Source organism: Homo sapiens, chromosome 2, assembly GCF_000001405.40.
Source record: "Homo sapiens chromosome 2, GRCh38.p14 Primary Assembly".
In the NCBI taxonomy this organism is placed as follows: domain Eukaryota; kingdom Metazoa; phylum Chordata; class Mammalia; order Primates; family Hominidae; genus Homo; species Homo sapiens.
Window position 1 is genome coordinate 38,351,011 of NC_000002.12, and position 26,743 is coordinate 38,377,753.

At 41.8% G+C, this 26,743-nt stretch overlaps 1 protein-coding gene across 10 annotated transcripts in view, besides 10 other annotated features; it reads right to left on the reverse strand.

Annotated features, from left to right (window-relative positions):
• The window catches only part of ATL2 (atlastin GTPase 2), an 84,631-nt gene that overhangs the window by 57,057 nt on the left and 831 nt on the right, over positions 1-26,743 (reverse strand). For 6 of the 10 annotated variants that reach the window (NM_001330458.2, NM_001330461.2, NM_001135673.4 and 3 more), the window contains exon 1: positions 26,133-26,263. The exons of 1 other annotated variant lie outside the window; for it this stretch is intronic. Coding sequence is in view for 5 of the 9 variants with exons in the window: in NM_001135673.4 (NP_001129145.1) it covers positions 26,133-26,250 (118 nt within the window). In the remaining 4 variants the exon portion in view is untranslated. Of the gene's footprint in view, positions 1-25,105; positions 25,521-26,132; positions 26,264-26,743 lie in introns of those variants that run through there. 3 more of the 10 variants (NM_001330460.1, NM_001308076.1, NM_001330459.1) reach the window with 1 other exon arrangement.
• Positions 540-1,040: an enhancer, noted in NCBI's record as "H3K4me1 hESC enhancer chr2:38578692-38579192 (GRCh37/hg19 assembly coordinates)". NCBI's record gives its function as "activates a minimal SCP1, AML or CMV promoter by ChIP-STARR-seq in primed H9 embryonic stem cells {active_cell/tissue: H9 hESC(primed)}" and the evidence as "EXISTENCE:reporter gene assay evidence [ECO:0000049][PMID:30033119]".
• Positions 2,513-3,014: an enhancer, noted in NCBI's record as "H3K4me1 hESC enhancer chr2:38580665-38581166 (GRCh37/hg19 assembly coordinates)". NCBI's record gives its function as "activates a minimal SCP1, AML or CMV promoter by ChIP-STARR-seq in naive H9 embryonic stem cells {active_cell/tissue: H9 hESC(naive)}" and the evidence as "EXISTENCE:reporter gene assay evidence [ECO:0000049][PMID:30033119]".
• Positions 3,015-3,514: an enhancer, noted in NCBI's record as "H3K4me1 hESC enhancer chr2:38581167-38581666 (GRCh37/hg19 assembly coordinates)". NCBI's record gives its function as "activates a minimal SCP1, AML or CMV promoter by ChIP-STARR-seq in naive H9 embryonic stem cells {active_cell/tissue: H9 hESC(naive)}" and the evidence as "EXISTENCE:reporter gene assay evidence [ECO:0000049][PMID:30033119]".
• Positions 25,355-25,856: an enhancer, noted in NCBI's record as "H3K27ac hESC enhancer chr2:38603507-38604008 (GRCh37/hg19 assembly coordinates)". NCBI's record gives its function as "activates a minimal SCP1, AML or CMV promoter by ChIP-STARR-seq in primed H9 embryonic stem cells {active_cell/tissue: H9 hESC(primed)}" and the evidence as "EXISTENCE:reporter gene assay evidence [ECO:0000049][PMID:30033119]".
• Positions 25,355-26,562: a biological region, named in NCBI's record as "H3K27ac hESC enhancers GRCh37_chr2:38603507-38604008 and GRCh37_chr2:38604009-38604508".
• Positions 25,683-26,182: a silencer, noted in NCBI's record as "silent region_11370". NCBI's record gives its function as "represses an Ori minimal core promoter by ATAC-STARR-seq in GM12878 lymphoblastoid cells {active_cell/tissue: GM12878}" and the evidence as "EXISTENCE:reporter gene assay evidence [ECO:0000049][PMID:35858748]".
• Positions 25,857-26,356: an enhancer, noted in NCBI's record as "H3K27ac hESC enhancer chr2:38604009-38604508 (GRCh37/hg19 assembly coordinates)". NCBI's record gives its function as "activates a minimal SCP1, AML or CMV promoter by ChIP-STARR-seq in naive H9 embryonic stem cells {active_cell/tissue: H9 hESC(naive)}" and the evidence as "EXISTENCE:reporter gene assay evidence [ECO:0000049][PMID:30033119]".
• Positions 26,183-26,432: an enhancer, noted in NCBI's record as "active region_15605". NCBI's record gives its function as "activates an Ori minimal core promoter by ATAC-STARR-seq in GM12878 lymphoblastoid cells {active_cell/tissue: GM12878}" and the evidence as "EXISTENCE:reporter gene assay evidence [ECO:0000049][PMID:35858748]".
• Positions 26,403-26,562: a silencer, noted in NCBI's record as "silent region_11371". NCBI's record gives its function as "represses an Ori minimal core promoter by ATAC-STARR-seq in GM12878 lymphoblastoid cells {active_cell/tissue: GM12878}" and the evidence as "EXISTENCE:reporter gene assay evidence [ECO:0000049][PMID:35858748]".
• Positions 26,633-26,682: a silencer, noted in NCBI's record as "silent region_11372". NCBI's record gives its function as "represses an Ori minimal core promoter by ATAC-STARR-seq in GM12878 lymphoblastoid cells {active_cell/tissue: GM12878}" and the evidence as "EXISTENCE:reporter gene assay evidence [ECO:0000049][PMID:35858748]".

A 26,743-nucleotide genomic window follows, 5' to 3' on the forward strand; every position in this document is an offset into this window, starting at 1 on the left:
TAAACTTATAAAAAGAGAACAAAGAATAATTCACCTTTCAAAAGGAATGAAAAGTATATTTTATTATTCACATTCCAAACAAAAACTTGAAACAAATTTTCATGGAAAGTAACCTTGATTCAGTCTATTCAGTCTACTTATAAAAAAATTAGTTATCCCACAAAAGCTAAGTAACGTGTTAGTGCCTAGTACTTGAACCTCAACATTTATATTTCATACCCAAGTGAAAACAGTATCTAAGTATTCAAGTTTATTCTAGCACATATTTTTTAAGAGCCTTAAAGAGGTTATACGATGGTTAAATATATTTCTAGGGATTTATTATAAGGAAATAAGGACACTAATTTTATTCTGGTGGCAAAAATTAATGTTGCGTACCTCAAAACTGGAAAGTGGCCGAACAGTTATTTTAGCCATATACTGACATATTATGCAGCCTAAAAAACACATTTACACTCTAAAAAAATTATACATATATATATTTAATTTTTTTTTTTTTTTGAGACAGAGTTTTGCTCTGTTGCCCAGGCTGGAGTGCAGTGGCACGATCTCGGCTCACTACAACCTCCACCTCCCAGGTTCAAGCAATTCTTCTGTCACAGCCTCCAGAGTAGCTGGGACAACAGGCACCTGCCACCACGCCTGGCTAATTCTTTTGTATTTTTACTAGAGATGGGGTTTCACCTTGATCAGGCTGGTCTCAGACTGCTGACCTCAGGCGATCCACCCGCCTCCGCCTCCCAAAGTGCTGGGATTACAGGCGTGAGCCACCTCACCTAGCCAAAAAAATCTATGTATTATTTTAAACAGCATAAAATTGGCCGGGTGCAGTGGCTCACGTCTGTAATCCCAGCACTCTGGGAGGCCGAGGAAGTCAGATCACCTAAGGTCAGGAGTTTGAGACCAGCCTGGCCAACATGATGAAACTCTGTCTCTACTAAAAATACAAAAATTAGCTGGGTGTGGTGGCAGGCCCCTGTAATCTCAGCTACTCGGGAGGCTGAGGCAGGAGAATTGCTTGAACCCAGGGGTGGAGGCTGCAGTGAGCCAAGATCGCGCCATTGCACTCCAGCCTGGGCGACAGAGCAAAACTCTGTTTCAAAAACAAACAAAAACAACAACCAAAAAAAAAAAAAAAAAAAAAAAAAAACCACCATAAAATCAAGTGGGAAAAGGGCAGACTACAAAGTAGTAAAAATCACCCCCAATTCTATTTTGCATTTTTTAAAACACAGGTATTTGGGGGAGGGAGGATATTTGAGACTTCTAGTCATTAGAGTAACTGGTATCAGACTGGCCCTCGACCGTGGCTATAAAATTAGACAAAATACATGAAGCATTGTTTTTCAAGCAATGGACAACAAGTAGCACAAGGACACTTTCAAGGTGAGTGCCATGATCACTCCCAGCTCTCTGCCTGGGAACAATTTCCTAACTATAGAGTGAAGAACTAGAGCACAAAGATCTGAATTCAAGATTGCTAGAGCAGTAGGAATCTGTGAGGCAGGATACCAGAGAAAAAGGATCTATGCAGAGGTGGAGCCCAGAACTCCTTGGACAAGGACAACAAGCATCACAGGTGCAGGGGAACACAACACTATGCAATGCTTAACAGAAGGAAGCTACTACAGGGTTGAGAGAGAAACAGAAGTCAAACATTACTGAGACACTTTGGAGTTCTGGCCCAGCCAGAGTGGAAAGAAACATCTATACCTTAGGCATCAAGCTGAGACACTAGAATCGACATATCTTAGAATTAAGGGTCAAGTTCTAGAGTAAGGCCTACTGACAATCCATCCAATCAAAGCCTAAATAAAACCAAGACTTGAAAAGATCTGCAAGGTACACAGTTTGGAAATTTAGTCCCACTAAGTTAGGGAGATTTCCTCTAAGCTTTCCACAGACCCACACTAACGAAGTATGAAGCAAAGCCAAGGTCAAGATCCATCAGTAATTAACCTGCTTGCCAAACCAAAAACAAGCTAAGAGAATCCAAAATCTCTACAATGCATAACATTTAATATACAGTATATAAATCAGAAATTACTAGACATACAAAGAAAGAAGGAAATGTAGCCCATAGTCAAGAAAGAAAAGCAGTTAACAGTACCAATTCTGCCATGACCCAGATGCTGAATTTAGCAGACAAATGCTTTTAACCAGATACTGTAAATACGTTCAAGGACTTACAGGAAAATAAAGTCTTAATAAATAAATAGATGAGGAGTCTCAGCCAAAAAACTATAGAAACTATTAAAAAACAAATGAAAATTCTAGAACTGACAAGTACAGTAATTAAAATGAAATACTCACTGGATGGACAACAGCAGACTGTAGGTAACAGAAGAAAGTTTGTAAACTTGCAAAGAGATCAAAAGAGATTTTCTAATCTGAAGTACAGAGAGAAAAAAGAATAAAGAAAAACTAAGAGAGTCTCACGAACCTATGGAACACTATCCAACCTGCATTTAGAATCCCAGAAGGAGAACAAAGTGAGGCTGGAGCTGAAAAAATATTTGAAGAAGCAATAGTCATAATGTTACCAAAATTTGATGACAGAGATTTACAGGTCCAAAAAGCTCAGCAAACCTCCAGTACGGTAATACAAAGAAAACCACATCAGCCAGACTGCTAAAAACCAAAAACCAAAGATAACAGGACACAGAGCAGAATATTCAAGTAATTATTGTATAGTTATGTAATAATTATACAATTATACAGAGCAGAATAATTCAAATAACTGCTGCTTATCACATCATCACTGAAGCACTGGAGGCCAGAAGACAAGGGATTGATAGCTTTAGAGTGTTTTTAAAAGAAGTGTCAACCTAGACTTTTATATTCAGTGAAACGATCATTCAAAAATGAAAGCAAAATAAAGACAGCAAAAGCAAAAGTATGGCCGGGTGCGGTGGCTCACGCCTGTAATCCCAGCACTTTGGGCGGCCAAGGTGGGCAGATCACGAGAGGTCAGGAGATCGAGACCATCCTGGCCAACATGGTGAAACCCCGTCTCTATGAAAATACAAAAAATTAGCCGGCGTGGTGGCACGCACCTGTAATCCCAGCTACTTGGGAGGCTGAGGCAGAGGAATCACTTGAACCCGGGAGGTTGCAGTAAGCGAAGATCGTGCCACTGCACTCCAACCTGGCGACAGAGCAAGACTCTGTCTCAAAAAAAAGCAAAGAGTATCTGTCATTAGCAGATGTGCATTACATGAGAGCTATATAATGTTCTTCAGGCTGAAATGAAACATTATCAAATGGAAAGTCTCTTTATTCCTTCCTATTGATCTGAATCCAAAATAGTAAACAGATACAAATATAAAAGACTGGTTCTTTCTTCCAACTAATCTCCCTAAAAGATAATTGATCAATGTGGGGTTTATAAAGTATGTAGAAGTACAAAATTTTAAAAGACATGTTATGAGGCAAAGTAAATGAAATTACACCCTAAGGTTATGATTTTAAAGTGGAAAGTGGTAAAACATTGATTCTAAATAGGCAGATATATTAAAGATGAATATCATTAGCCCTAGAGTAACGGCTTTAAAACAAACAAAAAGAAAAAAGGTATAGCTTAAAAAGCCAATAAGGGGCCAGGTGTGGTGGCTCACGTCTGTAATCCCAGCACTTTGGAAGGCCAAGGCAGGAGAATCACCTGAGGTTGAGAGTTCGAGACCAGCCTGACCAACATGGAGAAACCCTGTCTCTACTAAAAATACAAAAATTAGCCAGGTGTGGTGGCACATCCCTGTAATCCCAGTTACTCGGGAAGCTGAGGCAGGAGAATCCCTTTAACCCAGGAGGCGGAGGTTGCAGTGAGCCGAGATTGTGCCATTGCACTCCAACCTGGGTAAGAAGAGCGAAACTCTTTCTCAAAAACAAAAACCAAAAAAAGCCAATAAGAAACCAAAATAAAATAGTAAAAAATATTCAATGAACCCAAAGTAAAAAATAAGAACAAAAGACAAAAGAGATGAATGAAAAACACGCAAGATGGCAACCTTAAACCCAACTAAATTCAATAATTACATCAAATATAAATACACTAAACACTCCAATAAAAACGCAGAGACTGCCAGACTGGGTAATAAAAGCAAAACTATATACTGTATTTCTTTGTTGTTTTTGAGATGGAGTTTCGCTCTTGTTGCCCAGGCTGGAGTGCAATGGCACGATCTCAGCTCACTACAACCTCCGCCTCCTGGGTTCAAGCAATTCTCCTGTCTCAGCCTCCCGAGTAGCTGAGATTACAGTCGCCCTCCACCATGCCCAGCTAACTTCTGTATTTTTAGTAGAGACAGGGTTTCATCACATTGGTCAGGCTGGTCTTGAACTTCTGACCTCCCTCATCGGCCTCCCAAAGTGCTGGGATTACAGGCGTGAGCCACTGCGCCTGGCCATACTGTATATTAGAGATGTCCTTTTAATAAAAAGACAGAGCTTGGTTCAAGTAAAGTTTCAAAGTAAAAGGGGAAAAGGTATACTATACAGACATTAATCATAAGAAAGCTAAAGTAGCTACATAAACATCAAAGCTGGCTTCAAGACTAAAAGCATACCACATATAAAATGTGTACTCATCAGAAAGACATAACAATGCCAAGTAAGAAACTCAAAATACACGAAGCAAAAATTCAGAGAACTAAAAAGAAAAACAGATAAATGCATAGTCACATTTGTTTGGTTCTTTTTTTTTTTTTTTTCTTTGAGTCTCGCTCTGTCACCCAGGCTGGAGTGCAGTGGTGCCATCTCGGCTCACTGCAACCCCCGTCTTGCAGGTACAAGCAATTCTCCTGCCTCAGCCTCCTGAGTAGTTGGGATTACAGGCACGCACCACCACGCCTAATTTTTGTATTTTTAGTAGAGACAGGTTTCACCATTTTGGCCAGGCTGGTCTTGAACTCCTGACCTCAATGATCCACCCACCACCTCGCCCTCCCAAAGTGCTGGGATTACAGGCATGAGCCACCATGCCTGGCCACATTTGGAGAGTTTAACAACTCTAAGTAATCAATATAATAAGAAAACAAAAAATTACTATTAAGAATATAGAATAGACAACCCTACCCACAAGAAAAATTAGCCACATATGTAATTTTAAGTTTTCTAAGTCACATTTAAAAAAAATCATTTAAATAATATTTTTATTTACTAACCCAAAATATTAGCATTTCAACCTACTCAGTATTTTTTACTTTTCTTTCTTTTTTCTTTTTTTTGAGACAGGGTTTCACTCTCATCGACCAGGCTGGAGTGCAATGGTGCGATCTCGGCTCAAGCAATTCTCCTCCCTCAGCCTCCCAAGTAGTTGGGACTACAAGCGTGAGCCAGCTAATTTTTTTTTAAATTTTTTGTAGAGATAGGGTTTCACCATGTTGCCCAGGCTGGTCTCGAACTCCTGGGCTCAAGTGATCCACCCACCTCACTCAGCCTCCCAAAGTGCTGGGATTACAGGCATGAGCCACCACGCCTGGCCCATTATTACTTTACATACAGTCTTCTAAATCTGCTGTGTATTTTACACCTACAGCACATTTCAACTTAGACACTAAATGCTTATCAGAAACACATAATCATTTAATTTCATAAAACTTACAACTGAAAAAGTAGACATGTATAAAAGTTGTTCCAACAAAGTTTTCCAGTATAACCAAATCAAATATTAATCATTTTCCACTCATATTTGTATCCATACTAACAAAACTGTTAATGTAAATAAAATTAAATAAAACTGAAAATTAAGTTCTTCAGTCACACCATTCAAACTGCTTTAATACTCATTTCTTTCACTAACAACCATTTCTATACATGTTTCCTCTTGTATGAACGGTCTATTCACAATCTAGATAGTTTTAAAGAAATGTTTAAATTACCACCCTAAAGTCCCTTTAATTCTACACTAAATCAGATGTTTAAACAGTATTTTACGACAGGTTTTTTAATTCAAAAAACTTTGTGTTTGCTGTAAACTGGAGTACCTTGTATACAGTACATAATTTAATGCTGGAAATCTAATTTAAAAGGTTTAGCCGGCTGGGTGCGGTGGCTCACATCTGTAATCCTAGCACTTTGGGAGGCCGAGGCAGGTGGATCATGAGGTCAGGAGATCGAGACCATCCTGGCCAACATGGTGAAACCCTGTCTCTACTAAAAATACAAAAATTAGCTGGGCATGGTGGTGGGTGCCTGTAATCCCAGCTACTTGAGAGGCTGAGGCAGGACAATTACTTGAACCCAGGAGGCAGAGGTTGCAGAGAGCCAAGATCACGCCACTGCACTCCAGCCTGGCAACAGAGGAAGACTCCGTCTCAAAAATAAATAAATAAAATAAAAAGTTTATAGTTACTATATATATGTTTGTTTAATATACTTATGATTTACTTCCTACAGAACCCTCAGTCAGAAATGTTTCCTATCACATTTGGGATTAAGGAAAAAAAAAAAAGAAGTAGCATGGTGAAACCTCATCTCTACTAAAAATACAAAAATTAGCTGGGCGTGGTGGCACACCTGTAGTCCCAGCTATTCAGGAGGCTGAGGCAGAAGAATCGCTTGAACCCGGGAGGCGGAGCTTGCAGTGAGCCAAGATCGCACCACTGCACTCCAGCCTGCGTGACAGAGCAAGACTCCGTCTCAAAAAAAAAAAAAAAAAAAAACCTCTAGAGATACTTTTTTATATTGGGGAGGAAAAGCATTTTCCAAGAACTACAAGGTTTTAGGCATTAATAGAACATACATATACACCCTAGAATATATATCAAGATACATGACAACATTCAAGTTCTAGTACATATGCTTAAAAATTAGCCTCAATACTTAAAATTAAAACTATTACATCACTCCCACAGGCTTTATAGATTATGCAGCCCAATTTACTCATTTTAAAAATAAGAAAAACATACAATTAAACCACTGTTTGGGGGGAAATCAAGGCCAGGTCTTATTTAGTGTTATTTCCTCCACAGCAGTGCTAGTCAAGCTTAACATGAATACACATCACCTGAGTATCTTGTTAAAATGCATATCCTGATTCAATAAAACTGGGATTGAGCTTGAAACTGCATTATTATCAATCCAAGATGATGCCAAAATTGCTGGTCCTCAGGATATATGGACTAACAAGGGTCACTCTATTTCACAAGTGTTTAGGATGTAAGTGTCATTCATTTAATTCTATTTCATGTAGTTTCTAACAATATTAAAATAAAATTTTCAAGGAAGAAAAAAAGTTTTCAAGCTAAACTGTAATGCTCTATTTTTCCTGGGAGACTGCTAATACTGTGATACAACTAACCACTCCAGGGTTGCTATCAAGGGTTTGATATACCAAAGTTCAAAAAAGTCGAGGTACATAAAACAATCTCTACTTAAAAAAGGAAAAAGCTATAGAAATTATTTTAAAATGGCTGGGCGCGGTGGCTCACACCTGTAATCCCAGCACTTTGGGAGGCCAAGGCGGGCGGATCACGAGGTCAGGAGATCGAGACCACAGGGAAACCCCGTCTCTATTAAAAATACAAAAAAAGTAAGCCGGACACGGTGGCAGGCGCCTGTAGTCCCAGATACTCAGGAGGCTGAGGCCGGAGAATGGCGTGGACCCAAGAGGCGGAGCTTGCAGTGAGCCGAGACCGTGCCACTGCACCCCAGCCTGGGCGACAGAGCGAGACTCCGTCTGAAAAAAAAAAAAAATTATTTTAAAACGTTAACATGATATACGGCTAGGATTGAAAACTATCAGCTAGTTTAGCTCTATTAAACTATTAGTCTAGCTCATCCAATCACCTGGGTGAGCTTTTATAACAGTGCTGGGTCTCCCCCACAAGACTATTGCAGCCTGGGATACAAGTATTACAAGTACTGACAAAGACACAAACTTGGACTTCGATAAATTTTTTTTGAAGGAAAAAAACAGCTACTAGTCAAACAGATACTACAAGAAAATATTTTAACTTATAATCTGGTCCTGTAAAACATTAAGAACTTATAAACTCATATTTCTCTCATATAAAATTAGAACTACAATGCAAATTACAAAAACAAAAATTTTAAAGACTCCAGGAAACGACTTATTAACAATTTCAGTTATCAAATATTTTCTCCCTTAGACTTGTCCCTTTCTAGCCAACAACAAAAGACCATCCTAAAATAGACTTTTAAAAATGCTTTAAAGAGGGCAGCTGCAGTGGCTCACGCCTGTAATCCTAGCACTTTGGGAGGCCGAGGTGGGTGGATCACCTGAGGTCAGGCGTTCCAGACCAGCCTGGCCAACATGGTGAAACCCTGTCTCCACTAAAAATACAAAAATTAGCCAGGCGTGGTGCCACACGCCTGTAATCCCAGCTATTTGGGAGGCTGAGGCAGAAGAATCACTTGAACCCCAGAGCCCGGGAGAGGGAGGTTGCAGTGAGACAAGATCCCGCCATTGCACTCCAGCCTCAGTGACAGAACCAGACTCCATCTCAAAAAAAAAAAAAAAAATGCTTTAAAGAGTATATAATACCATTCATCTCCTTCCTTCATTACTATTAAATCAGGAAACAAAGAGTTGTTTTTCCTATAGGATTCACATACTATTTTCCACTTGAAATGTACCCCGTTTCCATAGTAACTACCACTGATGTCACAGAATTTTTGCTGTTCCCACTTAAAGAACACTAAGGCAAAAAATACTTTTATGCATTTATTAAAATAGACGAAGAAAAATGTAAAATGGTTTATAAATGTATAAACTCAAAAGTATTTTTCCCCAAAGTTTGTCATCAAATATTACCCAGTTCTTAAAAGCATACACCTGAATATGTAAGTGTACTTAAAAAAAATACTAAAGTTGGCCGGGCGCGGTGGCTCACGCCTGTAATCCTAGCCCTTTGGGAGGCCGAGGCAGGTGGATCACTTGGGGTCAGGAGTTCAAAACCAGCCTGGCCAATATGGTGAAACCCCGTCTCTACTAAAAATACCAAAAAAATAGCTGGGCGTGGTGGCAGATGCCTGTAATCCCAGCTACTTGGGAGGCTGAGACACGAGAATCACTTGAACCTGGGAGGTAGAGGTTGCAGTGAGATGAGATCGTCGTCCACTGTACTCTAGCCTGGGCAGAGCAAGGCTCCATTTCAAAAAAAAAAAAAAAAAAAAAGAATACTAAAGTAAATTTAAATTTGGTATTTTAAATGACGTTAAAATTTAGGAAGTCAACTTTGTTAGCTAGTCAGGAGATTCTAGAATAAGCGATGGCTCAGGGGATTCTTTTTTTTTTTTTTAAGATTTTGGGTGTTTTGCTTATTTGTTTTGAGATGGGGTCTTGCTCTGATGCCCAGGCTGCAGTACAGTGGCACAATCACAGCTCACTGTGGCCTTGACCCCCAAGGCTCAAGACATCCTCCCATCTCAGCTTTCTGAGTAGCTGGGACCACAGGCATGCACTACCACAGTCAACTAATTTAGTTTTTGTAGAGACCAGGTCTCACTATGTTGCCCAGGCTGGTCTCAAACTCCTGGACTAAAGGGATCCTCCTGCCTCAGCCTCCCCAAAGTGCTGGGATTCCAGGAGTGGGCCACCACACCCAGCCTCGGGGAACTCTATAATCAACAAGACAGAAATTCAGACATTTTATTCAGGTTCTGCAAGTCTCTTCATTTTCTTCTACAGAGAAGTCTTGAAGAAAATCTCACCTCAAGTCAAGACCAAAAAAAAGGGTCTTAGACGGGCTCTTAGGTACTTTTTTGGGGGGAAATGAGGGAGAACATACTTTTGTTATGTGGACCAGATTTTTAAAGAATGAGAGTACACAATATTGAAACTTTCTTACTTTAATATTTTTTAGGTAAGTTGTTTATATCCTAGAGAAATTCCTGCATACATATACAAGAAGAACGAAACATGGTTCCTTGTTCACCAAAGTATTGTTGGTAACTACAAAAAAAAAAATTGGAACAACCTAAATACCCATGGATAAATAAAAAATAAGTCAGAGAATTGAAATTAATGCATAAGATCTAAATATTTACATATGGATAAGCTTCCACACCAACGTGGAATGAAAAAAATTAAATCAAGCAGCCAGGCGCGGTGGCTCATGCCTGTAATCCCAGCACTTTGGGAGGCCGAGGCAGGTGGATCACGAGGTCAGGAGATCGAGACCATCCTGGCTAACGTGGTGAAACCCCATCTCTACTAAAAAATACAAAAAATTAGCCAGGCGTGGTGGCACACACCTGTAGTCCCAGCTACTAGGGAGGCTGAGGCAGAAGAATGGCATGAACCCGGGAGGTGGAGCCTGCAGCGAGCCGAGATCGCGCCACTGCACGCCAGCCTGGGTGACAGAGCAAGACTCCGTCTCAAAAAAAAAAAAAAAAAAAAAATTTAAATTAAATCAAGCTACAAAATACAGTCTGAACCACTCACCATGTTTTAAACACAACACAATACTGTATATTATTTATGAAATATACAAATGTTATAAGCTATTTAAAAACCAGAAAGCATACACCACTTTCAGGACAGGTGCATATCTACGAAGAAAGGGTAAAAGAGAAAGGTTATTGGGTGAACCATTCAACTGCACAGTAACATTTTCTCTTTTAAAAAGGATTCAAAATCAATATGGCAAATATTATGTATTAGATTAATGCAATGGCTACTTGGGTATCTATTTTATCTTTCTCTGTCATTTTTGTAAGTTTGAAATACATTACAATTGTTTTTAATGAAACATTTTAATTTGCCTCAAAATTTACTTCCACAGACAGGCAAGAAAACTTACCTTTACTGAAATGACTCAATGAAATAATCCTCTCAACAACCCAGTAACTTAGCTATTAGTCCCATTTCACAGAGAGGAAATGTGGATCTTCGAAGATGTTTTTTTAAAAATTATTTAAGATTCTACAGTTAAAAGGTAATGCATGCATCAAGATTTCTATCTTTTAAACCCATGCTGTTTCCACTATACCAAACTGCTATTCGATGTTATAGGATAATTCTTAAACAGATCAATCACTGTTCCCCAGTGATACAGCCATAGAAAGGAGACTCAAATCAGTCCACATAATGATGCTTATCATTTAAAATAAATCCCTAGTATTAGCTAATCGACTCTTATGAGTAAAAAACTACAAGCGCAGAATAAGAATAGGTTTAAAGGGCTTGTTTTTGCTTGGGAAAGGTGGATTCGCTAACATCTGGTATTTGAGATTTCTAGCTCCCTAAAGTTCCAGATTAAACTAGATGTTTAGGAAAAAACTAGAGCAACCAAAATAATCACAATTACAAATACACATAACCCTTCCTTACCAGACATATCACGGGGCAAAAAACTGCTTACTAAAGAATGGTCAACACATTTGTAATTCAATTATTTATCATGGGCCTATGACTGAGTTAATACTGTCAATATTTAATTAGCCACAGCCACACCGTACAACAGTGAGTCTCACACCCACTAGAGTTTAAGAACCATCTGGGTAACTGGCTCAGAATACAGATTCTTAGACCCCACCTCCAGAGTCTGATTCAGCTGATCCATGGAGTCCAGAAATCTACATTTTTAACAAGCACCCCACTAACCAGCACCATGCTAATTCTGACACAAGGGGTGAAAGGTCTAGAACTGGAGGTGCATAAATCTTTATTCTTTCAATAGTCACTGAACACCTACAACACAGTTCTGAGAACTACAGATTCAGTAGTAAAACAAAATTAAGAACAACAACAAAAATCCTGCCCTTAGGAGTTTACATCCTAAAGACAGAGCAATAGAAAACATATGTGTGATGTCAGCTAGTGTTAAGTGCTACAGAGAAAAGTAAAGCGAGCCAAGGGAAATGGAGGCAGGAGTTGTCATTGAAGACAGTAGTCACAGATAACTTCTCCTACAAGATGACATTTGAGCAAAGAACTGAAAGACATGGACATCTGGAGGAAAAGAGGAAAACATTATTAGTAACTTTCTCATCCCTCAAAATAATTCACTGTATGAAATAATTTTAGGTGTTGTAGCTTTTACTACAGAAGAGTGAAAAACACAGAGTGCCGACTATGTGCCTATTATCTCTTTAAACCTCAAAATCACTTTGTGGAGTAGCTATGAGTTTCCTTGTTTCCATAAAGGAGTACACTGAAGCTCAGATAAAGCAATCTGCGAGGATACACATTTTGTAAGTAATCAACTGAGGATGCACAACCAGGTCTTTCTAATTGTCAAAATGCATCATCCTCCAACTAAGCCAAACTGTTAGCATCTTTATTATCAAATGAGCATGTCTGCTGAATAAACTCAGATCTGAATTCTTATATGCTCAGTACTTCTAGAAACCTGAAAAAAGCTACCAAAAATACAAGTTGTTTATTAAAAAGGTGGGGGGGGGGGTTATTTATCATCTTTATAACAAATCTTGGCATACAGCTATTTTTCCAAAAATTCCCTAGTTAATATGTATTTATACAGTCAGCAAATCATTTACACAGTCTCCCAATATTTGGGGAACAATTTTTTCTTCATAAACTTTCTAGAAGGGCAAGTATTAAATTGCATACCTTTAAAATATAAGATGCAATAAAAGTATATTTGCCCATCTTTGGCAAGATAAGCACATATATTTAAATATAAGTAAATGTGTAACTCACTGTTTCCTATTCACCAACTCCAACAATTCTCAGGACACCTACTATCCAATCTGTCATGAATTACGAGGAAGACCTCCCATCCTACCTACTTCACACTGGTAACTAGAGAGCAAGGCACTATACTAGACAGAAGTATAATTCAATAATAACAGTCTTTACTCTTAACGGTTCTAACACAAAAAGTATAAAAGGATACTGTAAAATAAAGGAAATGCTATTTGAGTACAAAAGTAGCCCTTTTTGGATTATCTAAACTAGGGTTATCAATAAAGACATTCTGAAGACGGCTGCACCTCTTAAGCCCTGAGGATCAGATTAAGGCTAACTTTAAAAATGTAGTCTAGGCCGGGCACAGTGGCTCACGCCTGTAATCCCAGCACTTTGGGAGGCCAAGGCAGGCAGATCATGAGGTCAGGAGTTGGAGACCAGCCTGACCAACATGGTGAAACCCTGTCTCTACTAAAAATACAAAAATTACCCGGGCGTGGTGGCGGATGCCTGTAATACCAGCTACTCAGGAGGCTGAGGCAGAAGAATCACTTGAACCCGGGAGGCAGAGGTTGCAGTGAGCCGAGATTGTACCACTGCACTCCAGCCTGGGCAACAGAGTGAGACTCCATCTCAAAAAATAAAATAAAATAAAATAAAAATAAAAGTATAGTCTGAGAATGTTGGACATCAACCCTGAGGAATACCACTGACAATTTCAGAGCAGAGGAGAGAGAGTCAAAGCTGTGTTGCAGAGATAAACTCAAAGTGATGAGTAAGAAGTGTAATGCGCAAATCAGATATAAGGCAATTTCAAGAGCCCGAATATAAAGTGAGAAGCCCAAAGTCAAGAGGTGACAGTAAAAATGGAAGAGCTAGTTCTTAAACATCATTCTCTGTGGCCTTAGGCCAAATTATTCCATATTTGTTATATGAAACACTCACTTTTCTTACATGCCTTATAAAACGACAATGTACTACATTCCTATTTCCGGAAGTATTTTTAGTACAATGACTCTAAGAGCTCCAAGATTTTGTAGCACACGGATCAAGAATTAATCGAAAACACAGAAGGTTTCCTTGACTCAGGCATATAGTTTAAGAATTCTCTTTTAGGCTCAAAAAATAACTTTGTTGGCTAGGCACAGTGGCTTGCGCCTGTAATCCCAGCACTTTGGGAGGCTGAGGCGGGTGGATCACGAGGTCAGGAGATTGAGACCATCCTGGCTAACACGGTGAAACTCCGTCTCTACTAAAAATACAAAAAATTAGCCATGCGTGGTGGCACACGCCTGTAGTCCCAGCTACTAGGGAGGCTGAGGCAGGAGAATGGCGTGAACCCGGGAGGCGGAGCTTGCAGTGAGCTGAGATCACGCCACTGCACTCCAGCCTGGGGTACAGAGCGAGACTCCGTCTCAAAAAAAAAAAAAAATTACTTTAAGAGTTGTAAAGTATCAAGCCATAAAAGAACTCTGAAATTTGGGATAGCCAGTTAGCAAGGGAATCATACACACACACACACACACACACACACACACAAATACACACACACACACACACACAAATACACACACACACAAATTTAGAATATTTAAATTTAGAATAGACACTTAGATCGAATAGGGCTACTATGACAAATTTCAAAAAGCTTTAAGCCAATACTCTGGAAATTTAGACACTAAGTTCCATTCTGCCACATCTCTCTACCTCAGATGACTGTTACAGCAGCAGTTTAAAAAAAGAGAAGGCCGGGCACAGTGGCTCACACCTGTAATCCCAGCACTTTGGGAGGCCGAGGCAGGCAGAACACCTGAGGTCAGGAGTTCAAGGCCAGCCTTGGCAACATGGTGAAACCCTGTCTCTACTAAAAATACAAAAAATTGGCCAGGAGCAGTGACTCACACCTGTAATCTTAGCACTTTCGGAGGCCAAGGTGGGTGAATCACGAGGTCAGGAGTTCGAGACCAGCCTGCCCAACATAGTGAAACCCCATCTCTACTAAAAATACAAAAAAATTAGCCAGGCGTGAGGGCGGGTACCTGTAGTCCCTTGGGAGTAGCTACTTGGGAGGCTGAGGCAGGAGAATCACTTGAACCCTGGAAGCAGAGGTTGTAGTGAGCAGAGATCATTCCTGGGTGACAGAATGAGACTCCATCTCAAAAAGAAAAAAATTCGCCAGGTGTGGTGGTGTGTACCTAAAATCCCAGTTACTCGGGAGGCTGAGGCAGGAGAATGGTTTGAATCTGGGAAGCAGAGGTTGCAGTGAGCCAAGATCGCGCCATTGCACTCCAGCCTGGGCGACAAGAGCTAAACTCTGTCTCAAAAAAAAAGAGGTAAGTATTCACTCAAATTCCAGACTTGGCTCAATACAGACAAAATTCCTACTACAAGAGCAGCCGTGAAAAGAAGGGAATGGTGCCAAAAGGAGACAAATAAACACCCCTCCAACTAGATAAAATGTGACTAATTTGAAAAAAAAAAAAAAAACAAAGATAAAGTCAGAGCTTCGCACTATACTCTCCTTTTGTCCCCTCTTAGTTTGGCAATTTGAGGGTACATGACAGGATTCCTTGTAGTAAATAAACACACACGCTCAAAAACAGGATGAAGGAAGGAGATGTTAGCACAGTTTTTAAGTTGCATTTTGAGCTCCTCAGATAATTTTTCCAGGAATTATCCAGTTACTTAAACCAATTATTTGCTCTATTTGGCTACAGGAAAATAGCCCCATTCCTTTTTTTATTAAACATACTCTAATACCATTTGGTCTTTCAGTTGCCTCTATCTAATTGCTTTTAAGTATTTTTTAAGCATCTCTTTTAGATTGAAAATTCTCAGAAATCAGGGTCAAATGTTTAAATTATGTCATAAAAAGTTACCAAAATACTGCCTATCTTTTTTATCTTCAAACCAGTGGCATAGCCTACACTTTGCTCTCTAAGATCTACCCATTCTTCAAAGCACGACAAAGCCTCCCTCTTCCATGAAGTATTCCTCAACAACTCTAGCACACGGCAATTTCTACTTCAGAACATATAAGCTTAACGATAAACTTAACTCACAAATATGCATAAAGTCTCTATGATCTACGTGAAAGCTTAGAACAAGCATCTGTCTACATTATTTTTTGTAGGTATTCACTATAAGCAGCTCAAAAGCCCTTTTATAAGGTAGGTACACAGTATGTCAACTAAAACTATCAAGGGAAAAAAGCTAATTATTTGTCTAAGTATGGTCCTCTATTTGCCTGTCCCATTCCGGCCTCTAGTCCCAAAAGAAAACTAACCCCAGCCCCTTCATGTCCTACCCTCAAGAGAAGAGATGATAACTTTGTGCACTTAGTACATGCCAAACACTTTAAGACATTATCTTTATTACTATTATTATTTTTTTTAGCAACAGAGTCTCACTATGTCGCCCAGGCTCAGCTCCATCCTGCAGCCTCAGCCTCCCAAAGTGCTGGGATTAAAGGCACGAGCCACCGCACACAGCCAAGACATTATCTTTTAATCTTAGAACTTTTCAGGTAGGTTTTTTTTTAGGTTTTAAGAAACTAAAACTTATTTGTAGAGATCTGAACCTAGCTTCTAAGCTTGCTTTTCTTCTACCACGCTACTAGGCACTGAAACAGATGCCCACTCTCCGACAATAAAAAGAGATACGAATAAACAATCAATATATGATTAACAATTTAAGGCCGGGCGCGGTGGCTCATGCCTATAATCTCAGCACTTTGGGAGGCCAAGGCGGGCAGATCACGAGGTCAGGAGATCGAGAACATCCTGGCTAACACGGTGAAACCCCGTCTCTATTAAAAATACAAAAAAAAATTAGCCGGGCATGGTGGCGGGCGCCTGTAGTCCCAGTTACTACAGAGGCTGAGGCAGGAGAATACCATGAACCCGGAAGGCGGAGCTTGCAGTGAGCCACTGCACTCCAGCCCGGGGAACAGAGCAAGAATCCATCTCAAAAAAAAAAAAAAAAAAAAAACCGCCCATTTAAAACAACTTTTTTTTTTTTTTTGAGACGGAGTTTCACTCTTTTCACCCAGGCTGGAGTGCAATGGCGCGATCTCGGCTCACTGCCACCTCCGCCTCCAGGGTTCAAGTGATTCTCCAGCCTCAGCCTCTGGAGTAGCTGGGATTACAGGCGCTTGCCACCATGCCCAGCTAATTTTTGTATTTTTAGTAGAGATGGGGTTTCACCATGTTGTCCGGGCTGGTCTCGAACTTCTGACCTCAGGTGATCCTCCCACCTTGGCCTCCTAAAGTGCTGGGATTACAAACGTAAACCACCACGCCCGGCCTAAAACAACTTTTTTTTTTTTTTGAGGAGTCTCGCTCTCTCTCCCAGTCTGGAGTGCAGTGGCGCAATCTCGGCTCACTGCAAGCTCCACCTTCCGGGTTCACACCATTCTCCTGCCTCAGGCTCCCCAACAGCTGGGACTACAGGCGCCTGCCACCACGCCCGGCTAATTTTTTGTATTTTTAGTAGAGATGGGGTTTCACTGTGTTAGCCAGGATGGCCTCTATCTCCTGACCTCATGATCCACCCACCTCAGCCTCCCAAAGTGCTGGCATTACAGGCGTAAGCCACCGCACCTGGACTCTAAAATAAGGACTTTTTTTTTTTTTTTTTAATTTGAGACGGAGTTTCACTCTTGTTGCCCAGGCTGGAGCGCAATGGTGCAATCTCAGTTCACCTCAACCTCCACCTCCCAGGTTCAAGCGATTCTCCTGCCTCAGCCTCCCTAGTAGCTGGGATTACAGGCATGTGCCACCACGCCCGGCTAATTTTGTATTTTTAGTAGAGGCGGGGTTTCTCCATGTTGGTCAGGCTGGTCTCGAACTCCCCACCTCAGGTGATCCGCCCGCCTTGGCCTCCCAAAGTGCTGGGATTACAGGCATGAGCCACTGCACCCAGCCATAACAACTTTTTAAAAGCACTCCAATAGCATGCCTAAAGACTAAGACTACCACTAATAAGTTCAAAAAAATTGCCAATTTATTTAAGAAAAACATGAAAGAAACCAACACACACAATTCTCACCAAAAAAATACAAAATTAAAAAGCAAATATGAAAAATAATTTCCTGCATGCAAACAGGCTTTTACAAAACAATAAAAGAAATACTGGGAAATGCTCAAAAAATATTAAAAAGCAATTAATAAAAAGAAGTCAGAGCTGGGCACAGTAACTAACGCCTGTAATCCCAGCACTGAGAGGTGGAGGTTGGAGGATCGCTTAACCCCAGGAGTTCGAGACTAGCCTGGGCAACATAGTGATACCTCATCTCTAAAAAAGTAAATAAACTAATTCACATTTTCAATTTCCATATCACTATTCCAACATCAACTACAATCAAAAAATTGCAAATTAAACTGTAATATGCCCATTTTTACCTATATGTTGGCATTTATTTTTAATTAACACCCACTGTGAACAAAGATACTTGCAAACAAGCACAAACCTAACCCTGATGAATAAATGGGTAAAACCTTTCTGAATGGATCTAGCTTTTTCTTGAAAATGTACATGTCAGGCCAGGTGCAGTGCCTCACACCTGTAATCCCAGCACTTTGGGAGGCCAAGGTGGGTGGATCACCTGAGGTCAGGAGTTCAAGACCAGCCTGACCAACATAGTGAAACCCCCATCTCTACTAAAAATACAAAATTAGCTGGGCGTGGTGGCACATGCCTGTAATCCCAGCTACTTGGGAGGCAGAGGCACGAGAATCAGTTGAACTCAGAAGGTAGAGTGAGCCGAGACTGCTCTACTGCACTCCAGCCTGGGCGACAGAGTAAGACTCTGTCTCAAAGAAAAAATAAATAAATTTTTTTAGTAGAGACGGGGTTTCACTATGTTGGTCAGGCTGGTCTCGAACTCCTGACTTTGTCATCCACCCGCCTTAGCCTCCCAAAGTGCTGGGATTACAGTCGTGAGCCACCATGCTCGGCCAATTTTTTTTTTTTAATTAGCCAGGCATGGTGGCACACACCTGTAAGTCCCAGCTACTCAGGAGACTAAGGCAGGAGGTTCACTTGAGCCCAGAAGGTGGAGGCTGCATATTTGAGACCCTATCTCAAAAATAAGTACATAAATAAAAAATAAAAATTAAAGTGCTGATAAAAAGAAAACAGCAATTTATGAAGATGCTATTAATAGCCATCTTGAAAAAATTCTAAGAACAGGGGTGTTTTCCCGTCAAAACTCCTCTCGGATTTGTCATTAAAAAAAATCAAAGCCGGGCGCGGTGGCTCACGCCAGTAATCCCAGCACTTTGGGAAGCCGAGGCAGGTGGATCACGAGGTCAGGAGATTGAGACCATCCTGGCTAACACGGTGAAACCCCGTCTCTACTAAAAAAAATACAAAAAATTAGCCGGGCGAGGTGGCGGGCGCCTGTAGTCCCAGGTACTCGGGAGGCTCAGGCAGAAGAATGGCGTGAACCCCGGGGGGCGGAGCCTGCAGTGAGCCGAGATCCCGCCACTGCACTCCAACCTGGGCGACAGCGAGACTCCGTCAAAAAAAAAAAAAAAAAAAAAGAAAGAAAATCAAGACCGGGCGGTCGCTCACACCTGTAATCCCAGCACTTTGGGGGCCGAGGTGGGTGGATCACCTGAGGTCAGGAGTTTGAAACCAGCCTGGTCTGTCTCTACTAAAAATACAAAAATTAGCCGGGCACGGTGGCGGGCACCTGTAATCTCAGCTGCTCGGGAGGCTAAGGCAAGAGAATCACTTGAACCTGGGAGGCGGAGGTTACAGTGAGCCAAGATCGCGCCACTGCGCTCCAGCCTGGGAGACAGAGTGAGACTCTGTCCCAAAAAAAAAAAAAAAAAAAAAAAAAAAAAAAAAATCAACCCAGCCAGCACAGTGGCTCATGCCTGTAATCCCAGCACTTTGGGAGCCCAAGGCGGGCGGATCACTTGTGGTCAGAAGTTTGAGACCAGCCTGACCAACGTGGTAAGACCCGTCTCTACTAAAAAATACAAAAATTAGGCGTGGTAGCGGGTGCCTGTAGTCCCAGCTACTTGGGAGGCTGGGGCAGAAGAATCTCTTGAACCCAGAGGTGGAGGTTGCAGTGAGCCAAGACTGTGCCACTGCACTCCAGCCTGAGTGACAGAGCAAGACTCGATCTCAAAACGAAACAAAACAAAACAAAACAAAAAAATCAACCCCTGGCCCAGCAGGGTAGTGCAAGCCTGTAGACCTAGCTACATAGTAAGCTGAAATGGCGGGGGTGGGGGGTGCACCCCAGAAGTTCAAGGTTGCAGCGAGCTATGATTGAGCCACTGCACTCCAGCCTGTGCAACAAGGCTAGCCCCTATCTCGGGGGGGAAAAAAATAAGGAAAAAAATACAAAAAGATAAAAAAGATTAGGAAATGGCAAAAATCAACTCCCCCATTCTGATAAAGGTGAAATTAAACCAACTTTTGGCATCCCACAAATTCATTCACTGAAATTTTTAAAAAGCTCTCCATTTACCATGCCAACTTTCCTCCTTTGAGGAGTTTCTTTATAGAAGGCTTTCAAATTTCTAAATGGCATTTATAGGGTTTATCTCTTTAATTAAAAAAAAAAAAAAGAAAGAAAGAAATGGCTGGGTGTGGTGGCTGATGCCTGTAATCCCAACACTTGGGAGGCAGAGATGGAAGGATCACTTGAGTCCAGAAGTTTGAGACTAACCTGGACAACACAGGGAGACCACATCTCCACAAAAAATTTTAAAAACTAGCCAGGTGTGGTAGCACACTCCTGTAGTCTTAGTTACTGAAGAGGCTGATTCAGGAAGATTACTTGAGCCAGGGAGGTCAAAACCGCGGTGATCACGCCACTGCACTCCAGCCTTGGCAACAGGGCAAGACCTCGTTTCAAAAAACATAGAAACAAAACAAAATTTTTAAAAAAATTACTGTAAGTTTGCTAGGGTAGATATTAACCACTGGGAAGGAAAAAAAAAAATGTTACAGAAAAACATTACAGACCCAGGCAGGGTGCGGTGGCTCATGTCTGTAATCTCAGCACTTTGGGAGGCCAAGGTGGGTGGATCACCTGAGGTCAGGAGTTCGAGACCAGCCTGGCCAACATGGTGAAACCCTGTCTCTATTAAAAATACAAAAATTAGCTGGACGTGGTGGCACGCGTCTGTAGTCCCAGATACTCAGGGGCTGAGGCACAAGAATCGCTTGAACCCACGAGGTGGAGATTGCAGTGAGCCAAGATCACGCCACTGTACTCCAGCCTGGGTGACAGAGGGAGGCTCTGTCTCAAAATAAATAAATACATAAAAATAAAACATCATAGACCTAGTATTAAAATCCAAGCCTCCATTCTAAATCCATTTCAAAAATCATAGGAAGTTTGCAGAACTCAAGTTAAAATGTTAAAGATGGATGTAGTTCTAATCACTGTCCATGACTCTATTCTAAAGGATTAAATGAAGGGAAAAATAAGGTTTTTATGAGATTCACTGTTAGTATGGTTTCATGTTAATTGTTTTTTTTTTTTTTTTTGGCAATCCTGTGCATAACAGACCCAAGTTAGATTTTGCAGATTTACTGTTTGAAAAGCCAATGCACTATACAGTCAAGTCAGCCCTCCATATCTATGGGTTCTACATCCATGAATTCAACCAACCAGGAATAGAAAAATTATTTAACTGCATCTGTACTGAACATGTACAATTTTTTCTTGTCATTATTCCCCAAGCATACAGTATAACAATGATTTACATTGTATTAGGTATTATAGTGTAGAGATTCAAGTGTACGGGAGGATGCACATAGGTTATATGCAAATACTATACCATGTTCCAGGGACTGGAACATCCTTGAATTCTGTCATCAGAGGGAGGTTCTGGAACTAATTTCCCATGGATACCAAGGGACAACTGTACTTGGAAACTGCCATAACCTTAAACTATGAAATTAACTCATATGAAATCCTGCAATTGAAATAAACAATTCCAGAAGAACTACTTTGCCACAGGATTGTCTAAAATGCACATTTATTAAAATGAAGATAGCTAAGAAGCATGAATGATCACATCTTATGTTAATAACTGAACAAACACCTTCCAAGTTGCCTATTTTGAAAATTACTTTTTAGTTCAAAGTCTCATCTTAAATAACCACCCATTATGGTAATAACCACCTCCGACAGAATATTTGGCAGTGGGTTAAGCACTTTTAACACATTTGATACTTACAATAACCCTATCATGAACATATTATCAGCATTTTACAGCTAAAATTTAAAACTTGCCTACCACCCTTGCCCAAACTAAATCTCTGTCCACAGGAAAAAATTATAACTTTTTATTGCAAATATACACATTATATATAATAGCATAATAACACAAGTAGTCACACTGGTACATTCTTACATATATGTTACTGTGCCTTAAGACAGTTTTACAAACTTTAAAGTACTACAAAACACTTGCACCCTATCATCTGTTTCCCACGACAGCCTTGTTACGGATTATCACTACCTTATATGAGGGCTCCAGGCTCTGAGAGCTTAAGTGAAATCACTCATTTGATTCCTCATTCTTTTCCCACTACATTATCCTCCCTATGATTAAAGAAGCATTGCCGCCACAATCAGAGCATCTTTGCAATAAAAGATAAAATGTTACTAGAGAACCTAGATAAGTATTCTTCACCAGTTACATACTTCTCCAACAAGTTATTAGAGTTACTGGCCAGCAGGATATCCAGCTAGCCTCTAAGTGGTTGTTTGGGGACCAATCATAAAGTTGTATGAACAGGAGTTGTATGAATACTTTTTATTAAGCTAGTAGCTTAGCAAGGGAATCCCCTACATTCTACTTGTACTGGTCCGAAGACCAAATCCAAGGTCAATCAAAAGTACATATTATCTCCTTGGGAAAACAGAGGATGTTAGTCTTTTATGACTTAAAAGTTGTTTCTAGTAACTATCATCCGACCATACACCACACAGCCATTTGTCTCAGAGTAGGTAGTGAAGGTGGCTACTTAAATACACACATTTTTAAAAAACTGTATCCAAGTTTAGCAATATGTGTATATACCCAAGCACACAGAGACACGTTCCATAACTTGGAAAATCATCTGTAAAAGTTATTTTGGCTTTGCACTTCTGAATACTTCATGCTTCTCCATGACCATAACAAACAGAATTGTTCTACTTCCTTTACTAATTGTTCTACTTCTTTCTATAATATCTACCAAGTATTATCCTATTGCCATCATATTTTCAGGTTGGTACTTTCTTCCTGCTATCCTTTTTATGGGGGAGACAGAGTTTCGCTCTTGTTGCCCAGGCTGGAGTGCAATGGCATGATCTCGGCTCACGGCAACCTCCACCTCCCAGGTTCAAGCGATTCTCCTGCCTCAGCCTCCTAAATAGCTGGGATTACAGCCATGCGCCACCACACCCAGCTAATTTTGCATTTTTAGTAGAGAGGGGGTTTCTCCATGTTGGTCAGGCTGGTCTCGAACTCCTGACCTCAGGTGATCCACCTGCCTCGGCCTCCGAAAAGTGCTGGGATTACAGGCGTGAGCCACCGCACTCAGCCTGCTATCCATTTTTAAAGCCATAGAGAAAGCCCTCGAGTGTTGTGTATCATGTGCTGTGTGGAGGACTAACGGATAGGAAGAAAACTACTAAAGTAATGAATTCACTGTGGAATCAAGTTCAGTTATTCTATGTTCACATCTACATTCCTTAAAGTAAATAACTCTCAAATTTTCTAGAAAGTAAATAATACACCTGGACTTTGAAAACCCAAAATGTCTACAAAATCAGAATACCATTACACGTTAAAAACAAGAAAGAAAAGAAGAAAGCTGCTTCCCTGCACCTATCTGGAGAAAATCTTTGCGCTGTAAAGCTCTAAACCACCATTACCAAAAAGTTTAACTTCTACTCCTATGCCTTACATTTCTGGCTCTTAACTTTTTAAGGGCCTGACAAACAGCTTTGCTGACAATTGTGTGTGTCAAACAGGTCTTCCAAATGACCATCAACAATTTTTTAATACATCTTGCTATGAAGTCCCAAAATTTAAAAAATATATGTTGAACTCCATCCAGCATTATCAAACTAGTTAATCAGTCTCCCCGTACTCTTAGCAGCTAGCTGCCTAATACCAACTGTGGAAAAAGCCTAATTTTGGAAAAGGTCTAACAATTTCAAGAAAGTTACTTATACTTGTGAATATTCCAAAACTTTAAAGTTACAATACAGTCACAGAAAAACGAATCCTGAAATACACCTATGTGCACTCGACTTAAGGCCATAATCTTATTTTCACTCAGGGTTTCTTTTCCCTATAATATCTTTACTGTAAGGCAGCTACTTCTCCCTAAATAATTTCGAAGAATTTCAAAACACTTTACTAAATAGATTTAATCATATCTACAGAATCCTATCAACTTAAAAAGCCAATAAAATGAGTACTTATTTGCTTTCTAAAGATCCTACATTCCTAAAAGAATAAACACAAAGCCTCTCCCTAACACTAAACTACTCAAGTGACACTTGACCCCAACTTGGTTTTTGAAGCTATTTCTCCAGGAAGCAGAGGGAGACAAAGAGTTTCTACACAGTCAAAAATAGATGAGTCCTTTTCATTCAGTCTGTTTCTTCTCACTTTAAACACAAATCCTACCAAGCTCATTTAGTTTTTAACTCATTAATGAGTGACTCGGAGCAAATTAGCAGGTACAGGGACTGTTTTAGGCAATCATTTGCTAGGAATGGCTATCAAGTGAAGGTCTTGCTGATCCGTCCTAAAAAACAAAGGACAAAAACCTATGAGTAGCAGACAAAAGCATTTATTAAATAATAAATGGTGGGCCCTATTTCAACAACAATCTGAAGAGTATCATCTCTTCTCAAGATACCACAGCACAACAACGTTCACAACCATAACTGAAGTATAAATTTATGTTTCTTCTAATAAGGTAAATACATAGAATATTTTGAAACTGCATCTAAAACTCTTACCTCAAAAAAAGGAAAGAAAGAAAGAGAAAGAAAGAAAAGAACACACACTTCTTCCCCTAGGGTCCAACCAAAAGAGCGAAATTAATCCATCCGCATTCCAAAACAATTAATTACTTAAGAAATCCAACCAGCACACATCTAAGGCGAAGCTGCTTCTTTGGTAGTTTTTTATTCTACAGAGTGCTACCACTGTACAAACAGTCAAGCGTTTTGGTTGGCAGACAATAATAAAATAAGCTTTATTTCCTTTTCTTCTTCCCTTAGCAAAACTCCAGTCTGTCATCACCTCTGACATGCGCCAAGAACTACCAGGAATGATGAAGTATATTTCAAATAAACTTTCCTATTAAAGTGAGTCCTTGTGGTTAACATCATACCAAAATGCTTTACATTTTATCCAGCAAAACCTTTACACACCGTAAAAAAAGAAATCTTAAGACACGAGCTCGTATCTGTATTTAATAATAAACTCTTATCTTGGCCGTACTTACCAAATCGTAGGCTTTTACTATTTATAAGCCTTTGAAAAAACTTTATGCCTTTCTTAAGTACCATCAAAATTTTCAATCAGGATTTCATGCGATCAATTCGCACCACAGTGAGAGATCAAACGCTAAACTCCTATAAATAGGGGTGTTATGAGTGAGAGGGATACACTGCGCTGCCAACGCAACTGCGTCTTCGAGGGGGCAGGGGCGCTCCTGGTACACGTACAGTAGGAGCTCACATTCAGCAAAACCAGGGAGCCAAGGATCAGGTGACTTCACACTACAGACACTTTCAGAGTGATCAGGCCTTACTATCGTCCAAGTGACTCGTAAACGGCTCATAACCCCAGTTTGACACGAAAATCTAGACTTGCACCCTAGCCACGCACAACCCGCGCGAATGGGTTCGGGAGCCGAGGAGCCCCGAAACGCGAGCCCGGGGACAGAGCCCTGGCCTGCGGACTGCGGTTCCCTCCAGGAAGGGTGTCTAAGGAGCTTTCGGACCCGGCAGCAAGGTGTCTGCTCCCCGCGCGACCTCCTCCTCCGCGGGGCCCATCATGCCCTGGCCACCCCTTCCTCCCTGTCCGCGTAAGGGACAGCGAACGCCCACCAGCTAACGGGTCGCCCCGCCGCGTCCGGAGCTCGCCGGACGGAGCGGAGCCGCAGCCGACCTCCCCGCGCCCCGGGCAGGCGGCCACGGCTCAAGGCCGCCCCCTAAGGTCGGGGCGGACACGGCGGCAGCCACGCGGCGGGCTGGCGGGCAGGGGGCCGGGCCGGTCGCAGACGCGCGCGCCACTGGTTCTCCCAGCAGCTACTGGAGCCGCGGCCCACGAGCCGCCCTTTCAGGCCGCGCGCTGCGGGAGCGCGGGGCGCGGCTGAGGCTAGGCCCGGCGGGCAGGCGCGGCGGCGGGAGGAGACCTGAACCAGCCGCGGACTCCGACCCCGCCGCCTGCGGCCGGTGCCCGCGAGCCCGAGCAGCGAGCGTCTCTCCCCATCAGGGCCCCGCGGCCTCTGCCTCGCTGGCCCGTACCTAGGGAGGTCGTGGACGAGACGTGGTTAACCGCGGCGCTTGGGTCGCTGGTCCGTCGCCGGCGCCACAGCCCCTGGTGCGGTTGCTGCCCTCGCGCTGCCTCGTCCCCCTCCGCCATCTTGTACCGATTTAAAATTAACTCCCCACTGACGTCAAACGCCGCCGCCGCTTTATCAACCTCCCGGGAGCCGGCGGGGTGGCCGGCGGGTCCTAGCGCCGCTCTCCGCCTGTATCTCCTCGCCCTCCGCCTGTATCTCCTCGCCCTCCGCCTGTATCTCCTCGCCCTCCCTCCGCCCCCGCCCCGCCCATCGCTCGCTCGCTCCGCCCTCGCCCTGCCCGCCTGCAGATCCGTCTCCCCGGCTCCAAGTTTCTGGTTGGACTGGGGCGGGGGTGTCCCTGCCGCCGCCGTCTCACACCCCCACCTCCCTGAGCTCAGCACCACACCCCCTTAGCGCTGGGCCAGGCTCTGCAAACGCAGAAGGGAGCTCCAGAGAACTAAGTCCCTCCCTCCCAATTCGCTTTACATCTCTAATCGTTGATTCGTGCGTCCTGCACGTGAGGTGGCTTTCGCACCCCTTCTCTCCTTTTCATCGCCCCCTCCTCATCACAGC